At 32.5% G+C, this 14351-nt stretch overlaps 1 protein-coding gene across 3 annotated transcripts in view, besides 2 other annotated features; it reads right to left on the bottom strand.

Annotated features, from left to right (window-relative positions):
* SEMA3A (semaphorin 3A) overlaps nt 1–14351 on the bottom strand; it is a 536949-nt gene that overhangs the window by 45001 nt on the left and 477597 nt on the right. For all 3 annotated transcript variants that reach the window (XM_005250110.4, XM_047419751.1, NM_006080.3), the window contains 6 exons: nt 13432–13574; nt 10406–10520; nt 10245–10314; nt 6576–6720; nt 4562–4781; nt 1178–1269 (listed from right to left, as the gene is read on the bottom strand). In XM_005250110.4, coding sequence (XP_005250167.1) covers nt 1178–1269; nt 4562–4781; nt 6576–6720; nt 10245–10314; nt 10406–10520; nt 13432–13574 — 785 coding nt within the window. The remainder of the gene's footprint in view (nt 1–1177; nt 1270–4561; nt 4782–6575; nt 6721–10244; nt 10315–10405; nt 10521–13431; nt 13575–14351) is intronic.
* Nucleotides 1533–2096: an enhancer, noted in NCBI's record as "OCT4-NANOG hESC enhancer chr7:83631626-83632189 (GRCh37/hg19 assembly coordinates)". NCBI's record gives its function as "activates a minimal SCP1, AML or CMV promoter by ChIP-STARR-seq in primed H9 embryonic stem cells {active_cell/tissue: H9 hESC(primed)}" and the evidence as "EXISTENCE:reporter gene assay evidence [ECO:0000049][PMID:30033119]".
* Nucleotides 13054–13153: an enhancer, noted in NCBI's record as "active region_26218". NCBI's record gives its function as "activates an Ori minimal core promoter by ATAC-STARR-seq in GM12878 lymphoblastoid cells {active_cell/tissue: GM12878}" and the evidence as "EXISTENCE:reporter gene assay evidence [ECO:0000049][PMID:35858748]".

The raw sequence follows: 14351 nt of genomic DNA on the forward strand, positions 1-14351 counted from the left end.
ATTGAATGAATATATATTAGGAGCTTTCCATATTATACCTCATTTTTTCTTTAAAATACTACTGAAGAGTGAGGAATAACATTGTATATAGGTATGAAATTGTTGGGGTAAGACATCTTGGGAAAACTGCTTACCATTAAAATATTGAATCAACTGAAAATTTGAATCCAGCCTATTCATTTTATAGGTAAACTACCACAGACACCTGAAGACTAAATGAGATCACTTGAAGTTGTCAGACTAGATGCAATATTTTCTCATTTTTCTGTCTACCAACTTCTTCTAATACGTGTTTTTTTTTTTTGCAGTTATAAATATCTCAATAGATGTTTGCTCTATTCTTTTATCAAAAAATTCAAATAACACATTTACAGGCATGTATTTTTCTGTCATATGTCATTAATCATTTCAAGGTGTGCTTTAATTTAAACTATTTCTATTAGCTGACTTCCCAAAAGGAACAACAGACACATGGTATATGTTAGACTACTTTAGTTCTCCTCTTTCCCTTCACCCCATGTCCTGCTGCTTCCACCCAACCCCCCTCTCACCCGTACCCCCATTCCTCCAACCCTATACAAATCCCCCTGGGCCATCTGTGATTCAGGATAAAGGGACAAATATATGTACATTTCTTAAGCATGTAGACTAGGAATCTATAACAAATTTACTGTCAGTGATACAAACCTCTCAAATTTTTTTTTGCTAACAAATGATTTCTTTAAGAAAATATGAAATAATTCATACGTAAGCTAAAAATTGACTGAAATGTCTTCAGTATTCTGTCATTCCGAATATATTTCCTTTAGTACATTCATGGAAGTTACATATCATTTCAGTTATACTATCATGTGTAAAATAGATTTTAGGAGTGGGGAAGAGTTTGTTCATTGAGGTAACTTAAATAATATAAAATGTAATATAAAATGTAAATAATATATTTTATCATTGAGAAAACAAAATATGAGCCAAAAATACATTTCTTTACATCTTTAGATTTAACTAGCATTGAAAGTTTCAAGGTTTATTTTGACTAGTGTCTGGCTTTCTAATTGACAAGCTAATTAGAAGGGTATGTATGCTAGACTACTTGTCCATACCAAGTTCAGTGTGCAGCTGTCCTGGGGGAAAGACGTACAACTGAACTTGTTGACACTTGAAATTAAGCAGCACTCACCCGAAAAACTGTCATTTCTTCCAGCAGAACCTCTTCTAAATCATACCAAGTCTCCTTAGGAATTGAAACTACTTTAAGAACGGTCCCAACATCTTTGAAAGAAAGTGGGGAGAAGACCACAAGTTAAGTAGATCTGAACAGAGATTAGTGTTAATGAATGAAATATGTATTTGTCAGACAAAGAACCTTTGATATCGGTCTTCCTTTTAATTCATTTTTTGGTCAAAACATGAGTAAAATATATATTCAAATGCATTTCATGCAATTAGACAAAGTGTAAAGGTAAACTATAAACACAATCTTGGAATAATAAAAGATTGAATTTTTAGAAATATGTTTAGCCTTGAAGAAGGTTTTATCATGAGACTGCATACATTTTTTAAAATATAATAATTATTACAGAGATTGCCTGGATTGGATCAATTCTTTTCATTATTTCTAAAAATATCTCCTTAATTGCCTGGTATCTCAGAAACAAAACCTAAAAATAACGTCAGTTTGTCACGACAGGTTCTTCCACTTTTATTACAAAATCAGGGTACTACTATGAAGACTAAATATAAATGAAAAATGCAAGGAATGTTGTCAAGCAAGGGAAGTAGTCAGAGCTTCAGAGTCCTGGCTGCTCTTCTTGTCATCTAAAAGTCTTTAGCACTTAGAAGTTCCTAATGATGGCTCAATGGCCATTATGTGATGAATGACAATAACCCGATTTCTCAAAGTAAACACCTAGAATTGCTTATTACTGTGGTTTTTCAAAAATGTACACTTTGATTAATCCATTTTAGAGAATTAAGGAAATTTAACATTCAGAAGCCAAAAGCATAAAAATATTGAATGCATTTTATAGAGATTTCAAACCTTATTTGTTTTTCTAATTTGCATTGTTAAAAGAGACAACTTGTTTTAATGACAAGAGTTGTCACTCTTACTCTAAGTTGGGCTTAAAAGTTATTAATTTTCCAGTATTACAGATATGTTCCTATTCCTTGATGGAATGAGGAACAGGGGCTTATTAAATTCAAAACTTTTACTCTTCAACCTTCTAGTTCTGACTAAACTTGATCAAATCTAGTTAGCTTCAACTGGTTCCTTTTAATCAAGTTCAACAAAGTTATTGTGAAGAAAATCTTGTCAACAAAGAATAAATTATATGAGAAAAATAATTCATCGATAACTGTTTTTGGAGAACCAACATGATATGTTATATGAGATCAAGAAAGGTTGCTAATTTATCCCTTGTAAAGTTAAACCAAAAAAAGTACACTTTTAAGAAGACCCTTCTGTATTTACAGGACCTTAGACTACTCATAACACTAAAGATTAAAGGTAAATTAGGTTAATCTACTCAGTGCTTCTGATCATGTCTCCGGTACCCAAACACAACTTTATCTCTTTTCCAGATCAAGTTTTACTGAGTAGTATTTCAAACAATTTCACACAAATTGAATCAGATTACTCAACTAGGATCAATATACTATGATGTGCAACTTAGTTAAAAGATAAAATTACTGTAATCAGTTTACTTTGCTGACAGATGACCTTGGTCTGTACTGACCAATAGCCATCCACATCATCAGACATTCAACACACTCATGAAATTGGTGCCTTTAAAGACAGATTGTGTCCAAGAGGAATTAAAAGCTCATGATTAAGTTTATTTGGTCAAATACCCAGAAGCAAGCTTTGTTGCTTTGACAGTGAGTGAGAGACTTCTCAATACATTTAAGCCAGAGGTGAAGAAAAAGGCAAGTGTGACATGACTGAACAAACTTAATTCCTCTGCAAAGAAATTCAATTATAATTTGATGTTAAATGATAAACTAATATTTACCCAAGAGAAATACTATTTCTTATATGTTCTAAGGATATTTATAACCAGAAATTGATACTTGCAATTCATTGCCTTTATGAAACCCTGGGTCTGCTTTGGATTCTTTTATTTGGTAGAGAAACTTTCTCACTCATAAAAGTAGACTTTAATATATTACTCAGAACCTGACACTGTTACACCTGATAACATAAGTATTTCACAATTTTGTTATAAAACTTTAAGTCTTTAAAGCAGTTACTATATGGTTGCCATTCTCCTGTAGTTAATGCAATTTTTTTTCTGTTTCTCACTAAGGGAAAATAAATGTTGTTATACAAGGTTTCAGTGGAGCACTCACTCTGTTTCCCATTGATTTATGTCAGTTAACAGCGTTAATGGAGACTAGAAATTTATTACCTTGGAATCTGACCCTAAGTAGCAAGTATCAGATTTGTAACCGGGACTTTCAAAAATAATATTACTATTAAAAAGAGCTGGGAAAAAATAAAATAATATATCATAATAACAATGGAATTCATTCTGAAAATATACCTGAAAAAGTCTGTTTCTAATTATGGAATTAGTAAAAGTGAATTGTTAAATGTCCATAGAAATGTATCTAAGAATTACTTGAATCAATTATGTTGTTTTTCTAATGAATTTTTTTTCTTTTCATTGTATGACAGAAACACTGAAAAAATTTTATTGCTAACATTTATTTACTAGATGATGTTCACCTTATTGTAATTTTAAAGTTCAGATAATTTTGTACTAATATTCTGGAACTATTATTGAATGTCTTGGGAATTTAAGGCAGGATTTGAGTAATATATCTTTGTTCTAAAAAGCCACTGGCCAGAAAAGTTATGATGCAATTATAAACACTGATTGCTTACCTAATCATTAGCTTTACCTGATTAAACTTATCTACTTGTCACAGAAAAGGGAATTTATTTTAAATTAGTATGTCTCAACTTGTCAGAAAAGATAATAAATTTGTAATGGAAGAATATTCATGTTATTTAGTCATTTATTAAAGGTGAATTATACCTTGAAAGTAACGATAGAAACTGGCCTCAGTTCTTAGTATACATTTGACCCTTGAACAACATGGGTTTGAACTGTGTGGGTCCACTTATATACAAATCTTCATCTGCTCCTACCACCCTTGGGAGAGCAATGTCAACTCTTACTCTTCCTTCTCTGTAGCCTACTCAACAGGAAGACAAGGGTGATCCAGTTCCACTTAATGAACATTAAATATATTTTCTCTTCCCTATAATTTTCAGAACACTTCCTTTTCTCTAGCTTGTTTTATTGTAGGAATACAATATCTAATACATATGGCATACAACATATGAAGCTAATCAACTGTTTATCTTATAGGTAAGGCTTCCAGTCAACAGTAGGCTATTAGTAGTTAAGTTTTGGGGAAATCAAAAGTTAGTTATATGTGGATTTTCAACTGCACAGAGGGTTGGCATCCCAACCCCTGAGATGTTCAAAGATCAACTTAATCAGTTAAACATAGTGTTCGGAAAAAAGTTTACAGCTGAAATTTAAAAATTTACCTGTTCCGATAAACATAACATCATACTGTCCATCTTCTGCATCCACTCGGTCTACGACAATTTGTGTAAATTGATAATTTACATCCGTTTTGATCACTATTGGGCGATTGTTCATAGGAAACACTGGATTGTACATGGCTGGATGACTTCTTGCAAAGGTTATAACATCATCAGGAAGGTCCTTTGTAGAGTCAAAACCACCAAATGTTTTGCTGGGACACTATTAAGATAAAGAGAAAATTATCTTTTGATTAAAATCTAATAAACATAATTATAAATTATATAATAACACATGGCCTCAATGGTTCTACTTAAAATAGTAGTGCAGGCCAGGTATGGTAGCTCACACCTCTAATCCTAGCACTTTGAGAGGCCGATGCGGGTGGATCACTTGAGGCCAGGAGTTGCAGACCAGCCTGGCCCAACATGGTGAAACCCCATCTCTACTAAAAATACAAAAATTAGCTGGGCGTGATGGTGCATGCCTGTAGTCCCAGCTACTTGGGAGGCTGAGGTAGGAGAATTGCTTGAACCTGGGAGGTGGAGGTTGCAGTGAACTGAGATCATGCCACTGCACTGTAGCCTAAGCAATAGAACAAGAATCTGTCTCAAAAATAAAATAAAGGAAAAAAGTAGTGCAATATATAGTATATATTTCCCAAATATATCTTAATTCTCAGTGAGATTTAGTTATGTCACTAATTCTTAGGCAAAATTACAAATGCATGTAATGAATTCAGTGTACTGGAGAAGTTTGGTGCCTCTATTAGCACCACAAGCATGAGTGTTATTAGTAAAATAAGTGAAGTATTTGACATAATGAATGGAATATACTACAACTAAATGCAATTAATCTTTCTTTGGATTAGAGATGCTCAGAATAATTTTATTGAATACATTTAATTTTTTACTATGGCATCATGCTAAAATACAAATTCTCTTTTCAAACTGAAAAACAATATAAACTATTCTTTATTGTTTTGTTTCTAACATAATGCTAAAAAAGTACCATTGAGATATGTAATAAATAAAATAATCCCAGAGTTAAGGAAAAGTGTTATTCAAAGTGTTTAGCAACCTGCACTGCACAAAAAGACCAATCAGAATGCCCATCATGACCAAGCAGAAGAGATAATGGCCCCAGCAGCCAGAAAGATGCATGGTTTTGCACTGGCATAACCTCACCTCTGGATGTAAACACTCCATGTAAGACAATACAACAAAAATGACAAATTAAGATTTCACCGTCTCCTTTCACTATATTTATTGATGCAGTGCAAGCATTTATAGAGTACAATATCTCCAATCTCTTGCTTTTAGTCTTACACTTAAATAATTTCTACCATTTAATGTAAAAGCTTGGGAGCTAAAATGTAATTATGAGAGATTCTTGATCTTACAAGAAGCTTAGAATGAGAAATCAATTTTCTTTGCCACTAGCTTGAAAAATATTAATAATTCATGAGAAATAAAATGAATGTGTTTTGAAATGGGATGAGTATATATAAATACACACATATATATGTCTATGTATGTGTATATACATACACAATAATACAACAATATAACAGTTAAGGAATGTAAGGTTGTATTTCTTGTTTTGTATGTAAATTATAAAATTAAGGTTATAGAAATATCAAATATTTATGTAAAAACCTGGAAGACACAATAAAATGTATTTTCATGAGATTGAAAATTATTTCTGCACTTCTCTACTACCATGTAAAAATAGTTTGCAAAAATTTAGAAATGTGTGGTCAAAAATTAAAATAAGATTTAATAATTTTAGATTTATATCTTATACTGAATTTAAGAACTGACATCTGTAAAGAACATGTTTTTAAATGTGAAATTTCATTCAATCATGGAAAATCTTTGTCTTGCTTTAATTTATAATCTTGAAATCTTTTTTCTACATTACAGGATACATTTAATATCTGTCTGTAGCTGCATTGTTTTTTGACCTTTGGCAGAAATATATTCATTTCATATTTTAAACACCTAAGCTACTTACAGTTCCTGGCCGTGGATAGGGGACTCTTCCTTGATAAGGCACCCATTGATAGTTGGGTCCATCCCTGTGGGCATATGGACCAAGGAACACCCTTCTCACATCACTCATGCTATACATACACACGGCTGATCCCTTGAAAATGTTACTGAACAAGACAGCAAGAATAAAAACAGAAGTTCATCTTTATACAATGGTAAGAGAAATATTGATACTGAGTTCTTACATTTTAGATATGATTTATTAAAATATGAATATAAATTCTTAGCAATAATGTTTGGGATTTTTCTAGTCACATGTATGCATTTAACAATACACAAAAGAACAAAAAATTGTGATTTCTTAAAAATAGAAGGCATAGGTGAAAATGGCTTCAGTACTCATGGAATATACGCCTTCATATGAAACATAGAGTACTAAGTTTTGATAGGAAAAACAAATACATATAAACTATAAATGAATATGTAATTTTAATATCGTGGGGAAATTTTTTAAAATGTTGGTTAAGTCTCAAGCATTATTACTGAAACCAGGAAACTTTTAAATTAGCAAGAATGTTTAAGAACTCACTTTGTAGGCTGAAACTAGTACAAAAGATCGTGTCAAATGATGTGCCACATTATATTATTTTTAAATTCCCAAAAGTATTAGATCAAGTAGAAGTTGATTCTTGTGAAGACACTTAAAATCAGCTCTTTCTAACACAGAAAATAATTACGTTAGTAGCTATTTCACTCAGTTAAAGTGGAGAATTACAGCAATTATACTCATCATTTCACTAAACAAAAATTTTGTTCGCTAAACAAAAAATCAGATAGACTGGAAGTAAGCCACTGAATTGCCACAATTTTCCATTTTATGGCAGGGCGCGGTGGCTCAAGCCTGTAATACCGGCACTTTGGGAGGCCAAGGCGGGCGGATCACAAGGTCAAGAGATCGAGACCATCCTGGCTAACACGGTGAAACCCCGTCTCTACTAAAAATACAAAAAATTAGCCAGGTGTGGTGGCGGGTGGCTGTAGTCCCAGCTACTCGGGAGGCTGAGGAAGGAGAATGGTGTGAGCCGGCGAGGTAGAGCTTGCAGTGAGCCTAGATCGTGCCACTGCACTCCAGCCTGGGCTACAGAACAAGACTCCGTCTCAAAAAAAAAAAAAAAAAAGAAAGAAAAAGAAATTCCATTTTATTAGGCTTATAGAAATGTGGCTTGAGTAATGTATTTATACAAAGATATTAAACAGTTCTGCACATTTAAAATATGGAATGCTTATCTTTTAAACAAACTTCCCCCTTGAAAATTACATATAAATCAGACCAAATGAACAACATGTGCTTGCAATAGTTTGTTATTGGAAACTACTGCATATAGACAGCGATTCATAGACTGCAAGTTTCATGAGGGAAGAGACCATGCCTGGCTTCTTTTCGGCTACATCAATTACATATATCACATGGCATTTCAGAGAGTAAACCTTAATAAATACTTACAGAATTTAATAACATTTTCATAGCAGAACAAATAGCAAATTAGTGCATACTTGATACATCACACTTTGTAATGTTTGGGTTATCTATCCCCTTTCCATTATTCTTTGCTTATCTTTGATTAAGTCAGCTATCATCGAAATACTTAAGGAGTATGATAGGTAGCTATTAGGACTCACATACAAATATCCATTCTATTGACATAAAGAGGTGAAATTATTTTATCTCTAGCTCTCAAAAGGTGGTCCCTAGACAAACAACATGGGCATCACCTGGGTACTTGTTTGAACTGCATATTCTTAGGTCCCATTTAATTTCTATTGAGCCAGAAACTCTGGAGGCAAGGCCTAGGAATCTGAATTTTATCATGCTGTCTAGGAGATTCTGATGCACACTCAAATTTGAGTCACTGCACTAAGCAATGAGTAAACAGAAGAAATGGATTCATATTTGTCTGAGTCTCTCAAGTTCTATAGCTTAGTCATTCTGGTTTTCTTTTTTTCCAAAGGGAAGAAATATTATTTAGGTATGCAGAACTGCAAATAGTTTTAGGAATATGGATTCCTTAATTTTTATGTGATTTTAAAAAATTATTGAGTAAAAACATCCAAGCAATTTGTAATGGCTTTAATAGTTACAGAATAAAACAGTGTTGGACATTGCAGTTAATCATTTTCTTTGCTATCAAAGTTACTTGCAGTACTTTTCCTGACTTTCGATTTTTAATTATTTTTCTTTTAACATTTCATCCATATCCCAATGCATATCCTTCTTTATATGCATGTAAATGTACATGTGTTTCTTTCAACAACCCCAGGTAATGTGAACTTTATACTGAATGTAATAGTCTAGAGGGAAATAATCTCTGCTTAATTGACAGCGAGAGACTTAGGGAGGATGAGAAATAGGAAAAGGAGAAGGATGAGGAAAGAGGGAAGGAGGCAAGAGGAAGAGAGAGAAAGAGAGGAAGTAGAAGGGGAAGGAAGAAGGGAAGGAGCCCGTGGAGAAAGAGCAGGAAAAGCAGGGCAGGGATAAAAAGACAAGGAAATTAAGTTTGAGTTTGACACTGGTTACAAAAAAAAAAAAAAAAAAAAAAACCCAGTCATAATGTTGTAATGCTGAAAGTTTTTGTTTGTTTTTATTATGTGCTGTAATGGTGAAGACTTTTGTTTTTATTATGTCTTTTTATGTGATTATAATGTAACCCTAGTGCTGTAATGCTGAAGGTTTTTGTTTATTTTGTTTATGTCTTTTTACATGATTATTTTAAAATCTGGGTTACAAGGTAGATAATAAAAAACTAAATGGAGCCTCAGGGAAAAAAAAGTAGATTTTTTTACAAAGAGAATCTATTTACTGACTTAAAAAGCTTTAAAACTATTTACACTATGTAAAGTGTCTTCAATTGTTATATTAATAACTTTTCACACAATCTTAGCTAAAAGGTTGAGAAGCGATGATTGTATTAATAATTTTTTAAATTACCTAAAAGCAATTAAAACATTTCTTTTGTAAACAATCAACTTTCTCCAAACATACACATTTCTAGTTTAGTTCTAGGTTTAAAGGTTTAAAGAATGCAGAAAAGTGTAGCAAATATCCCATCTGTGGAATAGAGATACTGGGAAGAACCATGGACTGTTTTGACATTTCCAGATGTATTTTGTCCCCAGATTCCCATGCTAATCATCTGGGCAAAGATAGGACTTTCAGTGGAATTGCTGATGGGCTTTTCTCTGATCTCATTCATTAGCAATTGACTAAAGTGACAGAGATCAAGAGACAGAGAACTTTTTCCATTATATTTTCAACAAATTTTAAATTAATTTTTCCATCCTTAATTTATATCCCTACAAACTCTTCCCAAAACTCAGACTTCCATCTGTATAATATTTTACATTATTATAATAATGTAAAAGGTTTAAAGTCAAAGATATGCATAAGATGACATGAACATTTCAAACTGTTTATTACATATTCACATCATTACAATGATGATTTTTTCTAAAATTGATTTAGAAAACAAACATCTACGTAGATCATAACTTCTTTCAGTCACCCAAGAGTACACAACAGCTCAAAGGTTAAAGCAACACTTGCCTTTCAAAAATATACTTTTGCAAATTATGAGTACTTGGATAGCACCTAAATAACATTAAGTTTCTATAAGGTAGTTAAAAAGTTACTTACCTGGAAGTCGTAAACACTCCATATACAACTGGATTTTTAGGATCTTTAAAGTTCATTAGGAATACATCCTCTGTTTAAAAACAAAATTGGAGAAAGTTGCTTTTTTATGGAATGGCAAAGTCTGAACAAATATTCTCTATACATAAACACTAGCTTCTTACGCAGTTCATCAAAATGAGTGTCAATGCCATTTGGACCTGGCACTGAGCAAATCAGACGAGCTTTGAGGAATGTTGTCCATTTATTCACCAGACTTCTGTGCCCTCCAAAGTCATTCTGAAAGAAGGGAACACCAGTGTTAGGCACTGTTAATGAAAATGATAATTTGAAACATTTCTATTTTCTTCATATCTTCAGACAAACATAAAATACAGTTTCTCATGTTTTAAAAGTTCCTAATCATTTTAAATGACCAGATATAGGTAACTATCACTTATTGTTACATTTGTGGTCGAATCGTTCCCTCAAGCTTTTTTGACTTTTTAAGGGATATTTATTGTGAGTAGTCCCTTTATTTATTCAAGGGATTACTTATAAAGTCAATTCATGTTCATCTACAGATCAATGGATAAAGAAATTGTGGTCCATTTACACAATGGTCTACAATTCAGCCTTAAGAAAAAGGAAATCAATTAGATAAGAGGAAAAAACAGTTTTTTCTTTGAGATATGTTGCACAATGTGGTATCATAAATAATAATGTATTATACATTTCAAAATCATAGTAAATTTCAAATGCTGTCACCACAAAAAATAAGTATTTGAGGTGATGGGTGTGTTAATTAGTTGATTTAATTATTACACATTATATTCAAAAATCAACATTGTTTTGTACTCATAAATTTATATAATCATAATTGTCAATTTACAGTTTAAAAGCAAAAATCAAGAAGAAGGAAATCTTGTCATTTGAGACAACATGAATAAACCGGGGGACATTATGTTAACAGAAATAAGACAAGCACGGAAAGACAAATACCTCGTGACCTCACTTATATGTGGAATATAAGAAGCTGAACTCACAGATGCAGAGAGTAGAATGGTGGTTACCAGGGCCTTTGGGGGAGGGATGAAGAGATTTGGTCCAAGATATAAAATTTCACTTAGGAGAAATGAGTTTAAGAGATCTATTGTACAACACCATGACTTTAATTAATAAAAATGAATTATATTACTGAAAATTGTGAAAAGAGTAGATTTTAAGTCTTCTCGCCACGAAGAATTATAAGTATGTGAGATAATGCATATTAATTAGCAGGATCTAGCCATTTCACATTTTAAAACATCATGTTGCACACAGTAAATATATACAATTCTTACTGTCTATTAAAATAAATGATTGATAGAATCTTTAAAAATCACTTAAACTTCCTTTCTACTCTGCAATGAATGGATTCGTTTTGTTTTAGTATAATGCTCTCTCTCCTACCTACTATTCATAGAGATCTAACCTACATAGGCTTGTTCACAGCCAGTGCTTGTACACAGTAGGCATTCAGTGAGTATTTAATGAATGGATGATAAATATATGCCTTAAATACACATACAAAAAATAGATCTCAAACAAAAGCACGCTAGCATCAAATATTTTATAAGCTGAAGGAGTTGAAGCAATTTATATTTTACAAACAACACGTTGAGAAAATATTTGAATAACCGTTAATAAAGGAAACTCATTCCAGAGAACACATTTTGAAAATCTCACCTTGAAGAAAACTGATTTAACCTAAGCAAAGTAATAAATTCTACTATTGAGGTATGTGTTTACTAGAAACTATAGTTTTCACAAATGATATTTATGTACATATATTGAGAGCACATGTTCCTTTAAAGTAAAACTGATTTATATTTTATTTATATACTTTTAAACACCTTAGAGATTTTTTTTAAGCCTTGAAAGTAGTGCTTTTAAATATGACATGTATTTTGTGGAGAAAAAAGTCTCATCTACTTCACATGTTATTTATATGTTTTCAAGTATTGAAAACTTTTAATTTTTCAGTAATTGAATATAGTAGAGGTAATAATTAGATCATATTGGGGTAACGGGTCACACATAGAAAGAAACAGATTTTTTAAATTTCAGGATGCTTTCTTCAAAAGATAGAATTCAATTTTAAGACAATCATTGAATGTGGGCTTATGATTTTCTTTATTTGAAGGGTGCTTTAATATGTACTAAGAGTTAACTTTTTCATATTGCAGGAATACTGCACTAGGCACCGTAGAGGGAAACAAATGGAACTATTATATTTTCACACTGATGATACTAATTAATAATCTATAAGTGTTTATTGAACAATTTTTATTCTATGTATCTAACAGTATAATGCAATATTACATTTGACATTATGCCACACAATAAGTGAAATACCTCAGATAGTTAAAGCTCACAGCTTCAAAATTGTTTTTGTGTGGGTGTTTGTGTGTGTGTGTATATGTGTGCATAGGATGCTACAATCAGTTTGTAAAAACGAGCTTTCATGTTTTTCTCTCTTAAATGAATACTTCACATCTTCCAACAACAAATATTTATTCAAAACTTGCAAGGTAGGCCGGGTGCAGTGGTTCACGCCTGTAATCCCAGCCCTTTCGGGGGCCAAATCACCAGAGATCAGGAGTTCAAGACCAGCCTGGCCAACATGATGAAACCCCGTCTCTACTAAAAATACAAAACTTAGCTAGCCATGATGGCAGGTGCCTGTAATCCCAGCTACTTGGGAGGCTGAAGCGGGAGAATCACTTGAACCAGGGAGGCGGAGTTTGCAGTGAGCTGAGATTGCATCACTACACTCCAGCCTAGGGGGCAGAGCAAGACTCTGTCTCAAAACAAAACCAAAACTTAAAAACTTACAAGGTATAGAAAACTGTGCTAGGACTGAAAAAACATAAATTACCTTCTCCCAGGTAAAATAAAACCATTTTGTTACTGTAGAATTTCAAACAAATATTACGTAATGTAATTGTGAAATAATGCCAGTTACCTCACAACCTGTACCTGTATATTTGACTGCGAAGAGTTACTCATAACCAACTATAATATTCAATCATTATTTACCATTTATTTGTTATGTGAGTCAAGCTTTAGCCATAATTTTTATTGTATATGCACACAGGTAGAAAATTTTAAAAAGCAAAGCTGTTATGGGAAAATGACATCCTTCTCAGTTTTTTTTTCTTTACCTCACCTTGCATATCTGACCTATTCTAGCGTGAGTAGCTTTTCCAGAGTGTTCTCCATCTATTGCATTTTCACGGAAGAAAAAGTATACTTTGTCATCTTCAGGATTGTCACTCTCTGAGATGAGGTGGGCACTAATGAACTTTGGATCTGAGAGACAAATAATAGCGTATATATTAATTCACAGCTTAATAAATAATACCATTCTGAACAGTCCATTTTTACTTTTTTTAACTCTTAATTGATATATTTCAAGAAACGTATCTTTCGTTTGTTCATTTTGTAGGTACATATTAATTGTTCTTTATGCATTATAAAGTATCTTACAAAATACCTTATATCTCTAGAAAAATGTATTCATTTTGTTCTGAAGGTTAGGAGTAGGTGCAGAAAGAAATCTTTAGGGTGATCATACATTGCAGATGCGTTACTGGATATTAAAATATTTTGCAAACTATAAGTACTATCAAATATTACTTATTGCTGTCACCATTGTTATTCTTTCTTTTAAGCATAAGAATTTAAATCAAAATATTAATTGGTCTATTTCAGTTTTCAGCAAAGACTAGGTGGGCAGGGAAAAGTGAAATCCGTATAAAACAAAATAAATCCTCTCCTGTCATTCCCCTTTCCTGTAAATGGCAGTGTCATTCCACTAGATACACAGGAAAAAACCCTGGCCACCCTTGAATTCTCCCTTTCTCTCACACCCAACATTCTATCTATCAGCATATCCTTATTTATCATGATTTCTTACCACATTCTTCAATACCACCTTCCTTCAGGAAACTATTGCCAATCTGAATTATTAAAATAGATTCCTAACTAGTTTCTTAGTTTCTACCTTACCAACCCTTGTCTCCACACGACAGCCAGAATGAACCTCCGCTCTCTCACTCCTTCTCCAAACTCTCAATTGGATTTATT

This window comes from Homo sapiens, chromosome 7 (assembly GCF_000001405.40).
Source record: "Homo sapiens chromosome 7, GRCh38.p14 Primary Assembly".
Lineage (NCBI taxonomy): Eukaryota > Metazoa > Chordata > Mammalia > Primates > Hominidae > Homo > Homo sapiens.